Source organism: Homo sapiens, chromosome 6 (assembly GCF_000001405.40).
Source record: "Homo sapiens chromosome 6, GRCh38.p14 Primary Assembly".
NCBI lineage: Eukaryota > Metazoa > Chordata > Mammalia > Primates > Hominidae > Homo > Homo sapiens.
Genome location: NC_000006.12, coordinates 116,001,198 through 116,017,830, shown reverse-complemented (window position 1 = coordinate 116,017,830; position 16,633 = coordinate 116,001,198). Strand labels below are relative to the sequence as shown.

Here is a 16,633-nt window from a genome sequence, read left to right as displayed (position 1 = left end):
GATGACTCAGGATTTAGGAGAAGATGTTAAGAGAAAGTCCCCCTCTTCTAGAAACAGCTGTGTTTTTCAAATTGTAGTACCTTGGTTACCTGCCTCTGAATTGCCTGTGGCACTTGGGAACCTACAGCATCCTGAGCTCTACCTCCGACCTTCTTAGACTATTTGCCTTGTACACACTTCCTGGGACAGTCTTCAGAAACTGGAGTTTGAGAACTGAGGCCCTAGAGAAGGTTAATCCTTAGGTAGTGATAAAAGAAAAACCTCGACAAATTAAACTTAGCAGAGTTTAACTGGGCAAAGAACTGTTGGCAAATCAGGCAGTCTCCTGAGCCAGAGTGTGCTCAGACAGAGTCCAGCTGGTGGAAAGGGACTTATGGAGAGAAAAAGAAAAGCGATGTAGAAAAATTGAAAAGAGGTACAGAAACAGCTGGATTGGTTACAGCTCGGTGTTTGCCTTATTTTGAACAGGGTTTGAACAGTTGGCCACCTTTGGTTGCTCAAAACTTGGTGATTGGCACAAGAGTAGGTTACAGTCTGTTTGCACATCCATTTAGGTTGCAGTTCACTGTGTACAGAGAAACCTTTAGGCTGAACTTAAAACGTGTAAGGAGACAGCTTTCTGCTTGATTTAACAGTAACACGGGTGTGTGTTGGGAGGTAGGGAGGTGGGGGCTCTTTCTTCTCTCAGTCTGCCTTTTTCCACAACAGTTCTGAGGAGTAAGCTTGTAATGTATTTGTGCAACTGCTTCTTTCTGTAATTCTAAGCAGGAGCAAGCAGTAAACTAATTTTCAGATTTCAGAAAAGTCCATCAGTGCAGGCAGAGCCTTCCTTTTGTTTCCTGACAAATAGTTTGTTGACACTGAAAACAAAAGATGTGTTTTCTGGCACTGTTTCAGGCTTTCTTTTTGAGAACAAGCTGCTCTGTGGATGTGTTCAGTTTCTACTATTTCAAAGTCCAGTGGGTGGCATTTACATGGGTTTTAAACTATCTTTAGTTATTAACATTGGTGTTATTATTGGTAATTATTCATGATAGTAATGCTTAGTGAGTATCTGGGTATACAGGGCTAAATTATTAAAAAGAAAGAAAGAAAGAAAGAATGAAGGAAGAAAGAAAGAGAACGTGTGTGCTTGTTCTGACCTGTAGCAGACCAGGTCTCACACCTTGACTCCCTGGGGGCACCTGCTTCATTTTAATCCCCCCAAAGCAGTAAAACTAGTACATATCTGTACATCCATGTTGGTATCTGCAGCTACACACACACACACAAACACACACACACATCCATCCACTCATTCACATATATGTGTGTGTGTCTCTGTGTCATGTATGGATTAAGATTAGACAGTATAGTTTTTAAAATTATTTTTTATTGGTACATAAAAGATGTACATATTCTCTGGGTACATGTGATAATTTGATACATTAATATAATCTGAATTGGAATATCCATTACCTTAACTATTTCTCTTTTCTTCATGCTAGGAACATTCAAATAAGGAACAGTAGATTAATGTTAACTATAGTCAACCTACTATAGAGATTGTGCTCTGCTGTACTTTGGCCTCCTTTAGCCACAGCTGGAGCTGGAGCAGCTGAGACATAGGGCACCAAGTCCAGAAGGTGCACAGAGCAGCAGGACCCTGTACCCAGCCCATGAGACCATTTTTCTCTTTTAGGCCTCTGGACCTGTGATGGGAGGGGCTGCCATGAAGATCTCTGGCATGCCTTGGAGACATTTTCTTCATTGTCTTGGCTATTAACATTTGGCCCCTGGTCACTTAAGCAAATTTCTGCAACTGGGTTGAATTGCTCCCCAGAAAATGGGCTTTTCTTTTCTACCACATGATCAGGCTGCAAATTTTCCAAACTTTTATGCTCTGCTTCCCTGATAAATAAAAGTTCCAGTTTCAGATAATCTCTTGGTGAATGCATATGACTGACTGCTTTCAGAATCAGCCAGGTCACATCTTGGATGCTTCACTGCTTAGAAATCTCTTCTGCTAGATACCCTAAATCATCTCTGTCAAGTTCACAATTCCACAGATCACTAGGGCAGGGACAAAATGCCACCAGTCTCTTTGCCAAAGCATAGCATGAGTGACCTTTACTCCAGTTCCCAATAACTTCCTCATTTCTATCTGAGACCAACTGAGCCTGGAATTCATTGTCCATATTACTATCAGCATTTTGATCAAAACTGTTCAACAAGTGTCTAGGAAGTTCCAAACTTTCCTACATATTCCTGTCTTCTTCTGAGCCCTCCAAACTGTCCAACATCTGCCTGTTACCTAGTTCCAAAGTTGCTTCCACATTTTCAGTTTTTCTTTATAGCAGTGCCCCACTCTACTGCTATCAATTTTCTGTATTAGTCCGTTCTCACACAGCTATAAAGATATTACCTGAGACTGGATAATTTATGAAGAAAAGAGGTTTAATTGTCTCACAGTTCTGGATGGCTGGGGAAGACTCGGGAAACTTACAATCATGGTGGAAGGGGAAGCAAGGCACATCTTACATGGTGGCAGGAGAGAGAGAGTTCAGAGAAACTGCCACTTTTAAACCATCAGCTCTTGTGAGAACTCACTACCATGAGAACGGCATGGGAAGAAACACCCTCATGATCCAGTCATCTCCCACCAGGTCCCTTCCCCAACACATGGGGATTATAATTAGAGAGAGATTTGGGTGGGGACACAGAGCCAAACCATATCAATAAGTAAATTTTGAATAAAAAATGAATAAGTGATTTTCAAGGTGGTAGGTTGTGGTTGTGGCCTTGGCACCAGCTCGTGTAAATACAGAAGAAACACTTGGCCTTATTGAAAGAGTTGGTTAGTTTCTTTCACAGGCATTTCTGAGAATTTAATAAAACAATGGATTATCTCCCCGGAAAAAAATGCATGTACTCATTAAAACACCTTTGCCTGTAGATCCTTATGAAAATTTCTTTTCACCTCTAAAGTTTGGACCAAGTCTCTTTTTTGTTTCTAGTCATGGAAGAATTCCTCTTTGCTTTCACCCTCCACATCTCCATCTCATATTTGTTTGTGAAACAATTTTTAAAGAACAAGTCACATTTTTTCCCTCATATTGCTGGTGAGCTCAGGGCTTAAAACTCCTTTTGTGTTAAATATTAAATGGAGTATCTTAAAACTCTCCTTTGTAGTTTTCAAATTTACCAAAGATCTACTTCTTCCATGGAGTTAGTTTCCACATGGAATTATCTGTAAACATCAAAGGCCCATATTTCTTGGGTTTTTTTTTTTTCCCTGACCACTGCTGTTCATTAAACCAATCTGCTCACAAATACCTTTTTGGTTTCTTCACTTGTGCACATACCCTTGTCTTTCATTTTTTTAGATTTCTGTATCTCTTTCAAATCCTTTCAAAGTATATTTTTTTAAAAGAACACTTCCATCCTCCTTATAGCCTATGGTTAATTTCCTACTACACACTGTTGATGATTAAATGATTTTTAAATTCCTGTTTCATCACTTTCTTTTTTGATTTGTTACTTAAAGTGGTCTTTTATCTCTCCCTTGATACTCTAAGATTTTCAAAGGAAAAGTTATATACCCTTCTTTTGCTTTATCTTTTCTCCATATTGTTAGTATAAAATTAATGTTTCTAATGTATTTCAGCACATAGAAAATGATATGATTAGTACCTTGTAGGTAATGAAGTTAAGATACCTTCAAGATGTTTACAATATTTTATTTGAGATAAGAGATTTAATGAAGCTCAGTGACATCATAGTGCATCACTGAGTGTTAAAATGATAAGCCCCAGGGCTGAAGCTTAGACATAAGCCTCTAGTTTTGCTGGTGTCTTTTCTGATGGTGTGTGTGTGTGCTATAGCAGTCATAAAATATTTTGAATATCACCTCTAGTATAGGAAAAGGGAAGAAAGATGCTCCCTCTTTTTTACTTTTTGCAAGAGAAACCTGGATCCAGGGAATACAGAGCAGGCTGCACTTGACATTATTGACCCTTCTTGAATGGTTTACACACAATGACTACTAGCTGACTAAACTCAAATTTGGTATTTGAGTTGGGACTTGAGTTTGGTCTTTGGTCTTTGGGACTGTCATTTCTGAAATTAGTGTCCTGTATAACCATATAGTGTCCCATGTAAGAAGTATAGTACTGCCCCAAAGCTTATTCGTATAGAGAATAGGAATGAACATTTGTGGTATTTTATAAAATAAGGCATTTTCCTAGGCATCATAAGATCAAGTGCATTTACTTTCTTTGGATGTGACAAAGATAGAAATTAATGATTAAAGCTTTCAACTCTAACCCATCCATATTCTTCTAGTTTCTGGGACAAACATTATCACAAATGTTGTACAAAATCAAAGCAGATGCATTAAAATTTACATTTTTATTTCAGGCTTGATGATTGGAAATGTCATTATATAGGCACACATTTTGTTTTTTATTTTAAAAGAGAAATCAATATTAGCTGTCTTTTCCTCTTCCCCAAATAGAGGATAGTTTTGAAACAAAAAAAGTGCCCTGAGATTGAATATTTATATGAACTTTGTTGTATTCTTTGTAAACTTCTTGTGAGGAATTGCATACTTTTGATTACCAGACTCAGGGAAGTGGATTCAGACTATAACAAGATTCTTTTATAAATAGTCACCTCCCCCAGTGAAGAAAGCACAAATGAGTTCACCTGACTTCCCCTCTAAAGAAATTCCTTCAAAATTTCTCATTTATGATGACTATAAAGGTGAATAACAGCAACAAAAAAGCTTTATCAAATGACCCAAGCAAAGGATTTCTATGTGACTGCAAGTCCTACCTCTGATACTTAATTTGACATTGTCACTTTATCACAAATTTTTTACATGTGTACAGCCCTGATATGCTTGTGTTTTAAAGGACAGAAAAATCAATTTCATTTTTGATCTTTACATTCACATGAAAGTGTTCTCTTTGGGGGAAAAGAGAGAGGTCAGATTGAAATCTGTGGTCTAAGGCCAATTAACATTAGAAACTGTGTTGCAACTGGTCCATAGCAGATAAGCCTTCTCCCATAAACACTTTATACTGCAAGCTATGTGGCAAGCTCAAATAAAAGATTACACAAAAACACAGGCATTATCTAAAGTTCAATGTTCAGTATAAACCAGAAGACTATATAAAATGCCCAAATTGAAGTACAATGTATTAATGTTTCATCAACAAGTATTTATTTAACAGCTCCACAGGGCATGTGGCCAGTGCTTCATGCCACAGATATGTGAAGTTATCAGACTCTGTCCTTATGCTGGGGAGGTCTGTAGCTTCAAGTGTAAACAAAGAATAATCTAAACAAGAATTTAAAATGCATCGCTAGCTTTTGTATGCTACATATCAAAACAGAGGAGTAGTCACTGAATACTGTAGGAATTCTGAGCAGTCAAGTTTTAGTATTGCCAGTATAAGTAGTGATAGCAGTGTGAATTTAGCTAGAACAGAGGGCTGATATAGGGAGGATAAAGTTGAAGAAGTGGCTTGTGTCCAGATGGTGGAAGGCCTGAATTTCCAGGTTAATAGAGGTTTTACTCCATAAGCAAAATACCCCTTATTTATGTGTATGTGGGGAGATGATAAATCTAGTGGTGGTGGTGTGAGCAAGGGGGAGAGTCTGAGATAAATGCATGTAAAGCTTGTAGCAACAGTGCCTGCCTCCTTTTATGTGATCAGTAAATATAAATTGTTAATGTTAAAGAGAACAGGCAGTAAAATATTTCCATAATCCAAGAGGCGATGTTGAATTAGACAAGGGTTATGGTGAGGGAAATGGAAAGGAAGGAATGAATAACAAAATAATTGCGAGCATTATTTTTTTTCTTTGTCCTTATCATTCCATGTGAGTGGGAAAGAGTAGCAGGGCTAACTTCCTGGGAACCAAGGGGATACTGAGCCGAAGAAGGTTTTGTGGAAAGGGAGGGAAATAATTACCTTGACAGGAAGAACTCTCACAGAGATTTTCTTCATAGTGTTGTGGAAACACAGGTAGATGCAGGTGAGTCATACCGAACCATAATAGTTCAAGGGGCATGAATCAAGCCTTTCATTTAGATACCATAAATGACTAAATGTGGTTATGAGTGTGCCCTGCAAATTGAAGGTGTTTTGCCAATGTGGGTGACAGCGATGCCTGCCAAGTCACATTCATGAGGACAATAGGTGTTTTACCCATTATAACATGTGTAACTGTGATGAAAACATGAAAGACACTGCTAACCCTGAGCTCCCACAGGGAAATCATCCTAGCTTACTTTCCCTATGACTGGTTAGGCCAAGTTGATCGACCCAGTTTCCTTTCTGCATTTTCTGGAAGGATGTTTTTTTTTTTTCCTGGAACTAGTCTTAAGAGTTTATTTTTTTAGGATCTGTCTATAGTACTTGAAGGCTGACTGCCTTGGTCTTAAGGAGACATTATAAAAAGAAGTCATATGTTAACTTTTGTAAATCCTAGCCATCAGTTGCTGGGCATGAGTTTTCTCTTTAAAAAGTGTAAGAGGCAATTATCTTCATCTGATAAGAATTATGAGTTACCTAGGAACCTAGTTTGTACACGTCAGTGAGGCACAATAAGATTCTATTAGATGAAATGACAAAACCTTAATTGAGGTAACACATCTATTTACATGTTGATTTCCCTAAATTTTGATTAATATTTAAGATATTTATCTTATGTAAATGTTGATATTCATTTATACTGCAATTTTTTTTTTTAAGGCTCACTGCCTTTTTCATAAAATAAAGCACGTCCAGTTAATCACAGGACAGCTCTCCTTTCCCTTTTTGGATTAGTAAAATGGCCTACTGCCACCTGGTGGCAGCATGTCCTAGTCCAGAACAGCAGGCAGGACAGAAGAGTCACTTGGGATGAAACTGTTAATACAAACAAAGAAATAAGGTCATGCTCACATATTCACTCGTGTCCCAGCATGACCTCAAATCCAACATGCCTAAAACAAAATTGATAATATCTGCCTTCAATTAATTATCTTAAAATCTCTACTATTTATTGAGCATGAATGTGTCGAGACATAAAGCACTTTACATGCAGCATTCTTCTTAATCTTGAAACAAGGCTATAAGGAAATTATTATTATTCTCACTTACAAATGAGGAGATTGAGGCATAGAGAGGTTAAATAACTTCCTAATGAGATGCTGTCACTCTTAACTGTTATTATACTCTGCCTTCTGACATGTTGCAGGACATATTGTCCTTTAGTCATTCAGATTTGAAATCCTGGTGTCACATCGTCTCTTCCATCTGTTTCGCTGCTCATTCATAATCACTTGTTTTATATTCCTTTGGGATTTTTTCCTGTATCTATCAATTCTAAGTGCCAAAGTTTCTAGTCCAGACCTTTACAACATGTAAATTTTTGTAGCATGTTCCTGATTGACCTCTTTTAATTTTTTATATTTAAATACATTTTAAAGTAATCTACAACTACATGTTATTATAAACATCCAAATTATAGAGAAGAATGCAGAGTAAAAAGTGAAACTCCTCTGTCATTACTTTCATATTCTCTCACTAATCTCCAGGAAAGTAAGCACATATAATTTTTAGTTTGTGAATTTTTTTTTTTTTCGAGACAGAATCTCACTCTGTTGCCCAGGCGATGGCATGATCTCGGCTCACTGCAACCTCCGCCTCCTTGGTTCAAGCGATTCTCCTGCCTCAGCCTCCCGAGTAGCTGGGACTACAGGTGCCCACCACGCCTGGCTATTTTTGTATTTTTAGTAGAGATGGGGTTTCACCGTGTTAGCCAGGATGGTCTTGATCTCCTGACCTTGTGATCCACCCACCTCGGCCTCCCAAAGTGCTGGGATTACAGGAGTGAGCCACCATGCCCGGCCAGTTTGTTGATTTTTTAAAATATAAATAAACCTATAACACTCCTAATATTTGTAATTTACCCTTTTTTATACAACAATGTCCTGCAGACACATTTTATACAACAATGTCCTGCAGACACAGAAAATAACACAATCTTTCTGTGTTAATGTTACAGAATTTACATACGGTAGACACTTGATAATTTACATAATTATAGACTTAAATTACATACTATTTTCATCTAAAACAGAAATTATATTTTTTGTTTGTTTTTATCAAATTGAAGCATTTGTTTCTTCCAGCATTTCTTTTCATATCATGAGTTTAATCTTCTTCTTGGTTATTGTTAATAAAGATATCTTTCATGGCATGGTATGTCAATAAAGATTATTTTTTAAAATATCAATAAACTGTGTGTGTGTGAGTAGTTGTGGTATTATTTTACTGGATACTTTTTTGCATGTAAGTGCCAAACTCAAACATTCTCAGCTGCCTTGTACAAATTTCTAATTGGTTTACTATTTTTATACATCAGTAGTTCTCAAATTTAATGTACATTAGATTCAGCTGGGGGACTTAATAAACCCCAGATTGTTGGGCCCACCCCCAGAGTTTATGATTTGGTAGGTATGAAGTGAAACCCAAGAATTTCCATTTCTAACAAGTATTAGCCTAAAGCTGTCTCCTTGCATATTTTAAGTTCAGCTTAAAGGTTTCTCCGTGCATAGTAAACTATAACCTTACTGGATGTATGAACAGACAGTAACCTACTCTTGTGCCAATCACTGAGTTTGGCCAATCAAAGGGGGCCAACTCTTCAAACCTTGTTCAAAATAAGGCAAACATCAAGCTGTAACCAGTCCGGCTGTTTCTGTCTCTCACTTCTGTTTTTTTTTGTTAGTCACTTTCCTTTTGCTGTCCATAAATCTTCCACCAAGTGGCTGCACTGGACTCTCTGAGCATACTCTGGCTTGGGAGGCTGCCTAATTTGTGAATCATTCTTTGCTCAATTAAACTCTGTTACATTTGATTTGTCTAAGGTTTTTCTTTTAACACAAGTTTTCATGTGATGCGATGCTCCTGATCTAGGGACCACACTTGGAGGATCACTGATCCGTATGACTCTCTTGTGATGCTTTATACTCCTAGGATATCTTGATCCCTTCTCAGCACTCTCTGTCTACTGCACGTAAGAACTGTAGCTTAAAGAGAGAGCTGAAAATGGCTGTGGTGGACATCCGGGCCTGGGGTGTGTGCCCTTCCAGAATGGGGCCAGCAGAGGCTCTAAAAGGCAGACTTGATCAGAATGACAGTCCTGCCAATGGTTCAAACCTCAAATTAAGAAACAGTTTTCACACATGCAAAGGGTAGAACAAGCTATTGTTTATCCATCAGTCTCCACAGCAGCACTTGCCCTAGAGACTGCAGTCCACAGCAATTGCATCACCTTTGAGTATGAAGGACGATGTTATAAATGCCACTACATGCAGAAAACATTTTTAAACTTATATTCTTCACTTCCTGATCAGAGCTCAGCTAAGTAAAATTCTAGGAATTAAGTGAATTGATGCATTCAGTCAAATATTATATTTATTTCATTGTTACTATGGATTCAATTCTAGTGTGATTTGCTTTGTAAAGTAATTGTACCAATCTATTATACAAAAGTCCAAAATTGTTGAAACAAAGGAGGATTAAAAAAATTTGCTATAGGGTTTTTCTACAAATGTAGTAAAATTGCTTTATCTTTAACCATTTGATTTATAAAAACTGCCTGCTTATATATATATTGGACAGAGGAAACACATCATTTATAGACTTGATTAGCCAAAATACAAATGTAACATATGTACATAAAACTTATGTAATGGAGTATTTAGTTTTGAGAATGATATATAGGAGACATAATAATAATTCTGGAGAACTTAATCTGCTAGATACATTGTAATTCTTGTAAAGGCTTACATATTTATATTTTGTTTAAACCTTTTATTTTTATTTTTGCACCATCATCCCTTCATTTTTTTCAAATAAAAACATACTTAGAAGTAAATTATATATTTTCTAAATACATGCATTAAAATTTATGTGCCCCAACTTTCAAATGCTGTATTGTTTCTGAACATATATGCATTACTGTCACCTCTAGAAAGTTATTGAAACCATTAAATTGCCTGGATGGTTGAAGATTAGAAACATTATAGTGTATTAATAGGACAATGCCATTCTGAGTGATCTTTGGAGTATGATACTTTATATACTAATTCAGCTTTACAACCTGAAGGTAGAAACCAATTATATGGGACAAAAACCGCTTTGGTATATTATTTCTTATCTAAGACACTGTTAAAATGCTCAAATTTTACTAGTTTAAAATAAGAAATGAGGACCAAAATACATGGTGTTCTTTATCCTAAATTCCCTTTGCCTGGTGCAAAAATAATGGTTCATATTTTATCTGAGTGTTCCCAACTCATCCTCTTCACATTACACTTCAAGGTACTGTGGCATGCGAAATAGAAGTTTGGCTCAATTTCAGACTCAACCATCACCTCTCCATGCGGTCTCAAGTTAATAAACTTCCCTGGGCCTGAGTTTCCTCATCTGTAAACTAAGAGCATGTGAGAGTGCTCATAAAACATTATTTGAAAAGACTGGAGAGCAAGCATGAGTGAGTAGTGTCCATTGAAGGGTTTGTCCCAATAACTCACTGGAGAGTGTTCATGCCTTTCAGTCTGTGAGCTAGCAAAGATGGAGAGCAATGAACTAATGAAAGAGATATTTAGATGAATATGTTGCTTAAACATTTTAGTGTTGATGCATAATCAATGCACTTTGAATCAGGAAAATGCATTGAGTTGATTAAGATATTTCATCCATATTGCTTCTTTGCTTGAAATATTTCTGTGAAAAAGTATTGCCAGTTCTGGAAATAGAGTTAAAAGAATGCTTGAGTACTTTATTAGCTTTCACTAAACATGCATGTATTCATAAAAATTAGGTACAGTTTTCTAACGTGTTTTCTTAAACTTTATACAAATGCTACTACAATGGTATATATCATTCTTTTCATTCTTTAACTTACTCTAATCCTTGAACAATTTATTTTTAAAAATTTAATTTATTTTATGAGAGATGGAATCTTTCTATGTCACCCAGGCTGAAGTGCAGTGGCTATTCACAGGTGCGATCATAGTGCACTACAGCCTTGAACTCCTGGGCTCAAGTGATCCTCCTGCCTCAGTCTCCTGAGTTCCTGTGACTATAGGTGCATACCACCATGCCCAGTCATTGTTTTAATTTCTACATAGTATTTCATTTTATATCTACAACTGTTTGTTTATCTTTTCTCCTGTGATGGACATTTAGGTTGTTTCCAAATTTTCAATGCCAGGATTCTTTAGTGGATGTTCTTGTAGTGTATCTTCTTGAGCTCATACAGCATGTAGTCTAGAAGTGAAATTGAGTAGTACACAAATATTCAGCTTTACCAGATAGTGCCAAATTGCTCTTAAATTAGTTGTACCAAATCGTACTACCACTAGTACTGTATAAAAGCTCATTTCACATTTTCCTCAATACCTAATAATGTTAGCATTTTAAATTGTAATGTGAAAGTATAAAATAGTATTTCATTGTGGTTTTATATGTAATATTACTAATACCAGCACATGTAGAGGCCGTGTTCCTGTCATTTTTATTAATTATTTGGGGTTTCTTTTTATGTGAACTGCCCAATTATATCCAGGCATCATCATATCCTATGCCAATTTTTCTACTGTGTTGTCTTTCTCTTATCGATTATAGGTCTCAACATAATGTGAATACTAATCCTATTTTGGGTTATATACTTTGCAAATATTTTTTCCAGGTTTTTGGCTTATATTCAAATTTTATTTCATGGTGACCTTGTTGGTGTAGAAGATTTTAACTGTGATGTAATAAATATTATCAATCTTTTCCCTAAGGTTTGTATGTCTTTTTGTTTTTGTCTTGCTAAAGAAAACTTCCCTAGTCCAATGTCCTTAGGAAGTTTTGAAGTTTGCCTTTTACAGTAGGCCTTTAATCTATGTGAAATTATTGTGTATGCTGTAGGTAGCATCAGTTTTTTTCCCATATGGATTATTAATGATAACAGTGTTATTTATTGAGTCATCCATTCTTTCATCACTAATTTGTATATTTAGGTATCAGTTTTTTACTATGTTCAAGTATTCTATTGACTTGTTTCTGCAATAATCAAAAACATGCATTTCTGTTTTTCTGTGAATTCATTACATGGCCACTTTGGAAGGTTTCCATGACTTCCATGGTTTCAGTTACATAAACAATAGTCCATGGACATCAATTTGCTCCTGATACTGACTCAATGCAGCAGTCATTAGTGTAGTCTACCAAATGTTTCCAATTTTCTACCTTCTGGGAAATGGTGGGATTGGCTGTTTCTACTCTCTTTACATTTAGACATGACTATAAGACTTACTGCCAGTGGGTTCATTCCTGAGTAGAATCTTTAAATAGAAGCTCTAGGAACCAGCCTGCGATTCGCCACATTTTCCAATCCTGGCTCAGCAATCATGGAAGCATGGAGATAGAAACTCCCTGAGTGAGACTGACATCGAGCAGAGCTCCAGATGACCTTGAGTACCTTAATAGACCTGGAGCTGAGTGAAACCAGTTGTCTTAAACCACTGAGATTTTTGGAGTTGTTCATTACTCCAAGATGACCTGGCATATCCTGACAGATACAGTTAATGTACTGTAATTTACAATTTGATAATTGGGGAAATGATAAACGAACACCCTGCATTTGTTAGAAGGTAATATTTATATGTTAATGTCTCTCTTTTCAATTCCTTCCCCCAACTGCCTTACAATTGTGTCATTGTTAGGGCACTCACATTCTCTAATACCCATTACCTGTCAATCAAATTCAAGTTAAATTTTGATAGCACACATTTTTTTTTTTCTCCCAGCCTGTATTTCTTCCCTTAAGCCTGCATTTCTTCTCTTGGAGTGTTTACATTTTTAAAGAAGTTACCTGAAAAGATCAATGTTTTACCTAAAATCTTTAATGATGATGACCATTTTTATGGCCCTACAGTGAGGGGTCATTTGTGAAAAGCAGGAATTCTCAGCTTCCTCTTATTAGAACACATTGGTTTCTACTAACATGATATACATTTGACAGTGGCTTTGATATTAATGATCCATAATTCCTTGTTGATGATGATTGCATTCATGAACTTGTGTGTTCAGTATCTGACTCTTATATTTCTGGAATGGTAAAGATAAGAGGGGAAAAGATAAGAAGTGGAGGTATTACTAAAAGGATATTTCCTGGGCAGATGTATCTTTTTCAGATAATCTCTCCACTGCTTAAATGTTCCTTTATATTAATAAATTCCTCCTAGATATGCAAAATAATCTCATCTTATGGCAGGGTTGGACAGTGGTGGAGGTGGGAAAAGAAAGGAACTAATATCCAGAGAACTATATTTTTAATCCTTCGTACTTTAACATAAAGTACATGGATCCTTTGATTGGAATATTTGCCTCCTAACAGCTCAGAGGTGTTAGGGGAAGCAGTGGATGGTTGGATGGAGATGATGAGTCATTTTAGAGCCTGGGACATGGCAGACATACATGGCAGGCAGACACTGGGGCTTTGGCTTTGATAGAGGGAAGGCTCAGGACCTCTCAGACAGAACACAGCTGTGAGAAGTGATGTGGTAGTGGGCATAATCAAATTCCTGCTTTGTAGGTAAAAAAAAATAAATGTTGGTGTGGGTTACAGGCATTCTGAAAAATCATCTCAAGTGTCAGAAGCTACCATTTATACCTGTAATAGTTTTACTAAAGAATACCAAACATTTTTGATATTAGAATACTATCTTGCCAGGCTTTTTCCTCCTTAAAAAATGAATGTTAATTGGTTACTTAACATTTACATATCTCTCTTTTTAGGTGGTTCTTTGGAGCAATCGGAAGATCAGATGCAGAGAAACAACTATTATATTCAGAAAACAAGACCGGTTCCTTTCTAATCAGAGAAAGTGAAAGCCAAAAAGGAGAATTCTCTCTTTCAGGTAAGGGTATTGTTTTGTGTCATTCAATATGAGCTTGAGAGTCTGCAGTCATGAGCTTTCTGTGTGAACATGGACACGATCATTTAAAATTTGCCTTATTTCTTATCTTTACAGTAGCACCAAAATTAATACTAAACTACTTAAGAGTAATATAAAAATTAGCCAAAAAGATACTGTCTATGGCTAGAAGTCTCTATAAACAGTTTCAAATATATATGCTCTAGATATGAAATGGAGAACATGGATCTGCTGACAGTTTCTAACTTTTGCATTATCTAGGATTCTTTTAGGGAAATGATAAGGAAGAAACAAAAACTCTACTGTTGTCAAAATTATCATGCTACAATATAATTTTTTTCTTCTTCTGGCATTTCAATTCTCTTTGCTGGTTAAACATAAAACGAATTGAAATGATTAATGCAAATATATGTGATTAACCCCATAATATGTAAAATTTGGTCAAATGTAGTTTTTCACTTAAGGATCAAGTACGTGTTTACACTGCCCCAGGAGAAAAGAAGCACAGGGGACCTGAAAATGTACTCAGTAGTTACAGGTACCTAAATATATGTCTTTGCTTTGAAAAAGCTATATTTTTAGGTATATTGCCAGGTTGCAGAATATCTTTTCTTGAAGACCCTACACTAAGTCATCTCTAAATATGAGGCTTTCTCTCTTCTTGTCCCGTTCTGTTCTCTGTGTTGTCAAGGTCTGTCATTTGTGTTATCATCCCCTTTAAATACGTATTATTCTGTTTCTCCAATTAGATGTGAACCTTGTGGAGGGAGAGGCTTTGCTTCCCTCTATTCCTGTTTCCCTGCAATAAATGCTGATTAAACATGATGCCCATTTGCCTCATTGTGTCTGCCTGACTCACTGAGCTGGAAATCAGGGCAGCCGTCATGATGCCGCATGAAAGCAGGCCATAATTCCACATATATTGGGAACTTTGATCTGACCTGAACTCTGGCCAGGCTGTCTGTATTTGGTACACATTATCCTTCTCCACACCTGGTAGTCCCAAATATCAGGGCAGATGGGTTGGAGCTGGAGAGAAGCAAGGGCAGTGGTTTTGAGGCAGGTGTTGCCGAGGGTCCGTACTTCAGGTCCTGACTATGCTGACACTGAGACAATGTGGTACTCCAGAACCACATGGATTCAACTTCACTACTACCTAATCCATGGATAAGAGGTTAGAGTATGCTAGTTCTGACAGTTACTCTTGAAATGTGATTGTGTGTGATGTGTCAATTACCATTTTTTTGTTTTTTTGAGACGGAGTGTCGCTCTATGGCTAGGCTGGAGTGCAGTGGCTCACTGCAACTTCCGCCTCCCGGGTTTAAGCGATTCTCCTGCATCAGGCTACCAAGTAGCTGGGACTACAGGCGCGTGCCACTATGCCTGGCTAGTTTTTATATTTTCAGTTGGGACGGGATTTCACCATGTTGGCCAGGATGGTCTCGATCTCCTGGCCTCGTGATCCACCGCCCTTGGCCTCCCAAAGTGCTGGGATTACAGGCGTGAGTCACCATGCCTGGCCTGTCACTTACCTTAAATGTTGTTTATACCCAAGGTGATAATCAAAATATCTAATGACTGATATGGGATGGGCATTAGCCACTCAGAAAAGATGCTCCACCAGGCTGGGACTTCACACCAGTCCACATCTGTATATCCAAGTGATATAAGTGAATATTTCATATAGCAATGTTTTTTTCTCATTATGAAAGAAACATAAAAAACTTTTCTATAAGCAAACAGCTTAAAGAAGAATAATCTAGAATAAGACTTTCGAAAGATGCATTTTAAATATCGAAATACTTTTCCTGTCAGGATTTTTAAAAATTCTTGACCTATAAGTATATTTTTATGCACATATACATATACATACATACTTATACCCCCATACACAGAAAACACAATTTTTGTTTTGAAAAATTCTGTTCTGAAAATGAATTTTCAGAAGAGATTCTGCATCAAACATTAGCTTGTAAATAATGAAATACTTGTGTGTGTGTGTATGTTTTGTAAACAAAATTCTCCAAAAAGGAATTCGAAAGAAGAGACTTTATTCCAGTGACATTTGCAGACCCAGAAGATGCAGCCTTCTGTGTAAAACAAAGATGCATTCCAGAGAACAAAGGGAGGGTTATGATTTCATAGAAAAGTTACTACCCAGGTTCCCAGTCAGTTTCATTTATGCAAATGAGGGATTCAAACTTGCTTAGTTCTGAGTGGTCAATACAGCTGAACCTTGATTGTTTGTCAAAGTTGAGTCCTGATTGGTTGATACAGCTGAGTCATGATTGGCCAAGGCAAGTAAGTTCTGAAAGTCCCAAAGTTAAAGAGGTGTGGATTTTCAGGAAACTCAGAGTATGTGTGTGACCTCTATCAGCAAATGGACCCTTGGTTCTATTTTAAATTTAGGACCAGTTAGCCACTTGGGATCCATCTTGAAGACTGGCTCTTTCAGGTTAACTTTTGTTAATAGTGTATATATCTATAAATCTATCTATATCTAGATAAATATACACACATGTGTACAGACATATGTATATACATATGTGTGTGCATGCATGTATGCATGTATGTGTATAACATGGATCCAAGCTCCATTTTTCTTTTCTTTTTTTTTTTTTCAGACAGAGTCTCACTCTGCCGACCAGGCTGGAGTGCAGT

The 16,633-nt window shown here is 36.9% G+C and overlaps 1 protein-coding gene across 9 annotated transcripts in view, besides 1 other annotated feature; it reads left to right on the top strand.

The window, feature by feature from the left end:
- Positions 1–16,633, top strand: part of FRK (fyn related Src family tyrosine kinase) — a 169,577-nt gene that overhangs the window by 82,895 nt on the left and 70,049 nt on the right. For all 9 annotated transcript variants that reach the window (XM_011535656.3, XM_011535655.3, XM_011535654.3 and 6 more), the window contains one exon: positions 13,833–13,954. In XM_011535656.3, coding sequence (XP_011533958.1) covers positions 13,833–13,954 — 122 coding nt within the window. The remainder of the gene's footprint in view (positions 1–13,832; positions 13,955–16,633) is intronic.
- Positions 8,748–9,027: an enhancer, noted in NCBI's record as "active region_24976". NCBI's record gives its function as "activates an Ori minimal core promoter by ATAC-STARR-seq in GM12878 lymphoblastoid cells {active_cell/tissue: GM12878}" and the evidence as "EXISTENCE:reporter gene assay evidence [ECO:0000049][PMID:35858748]".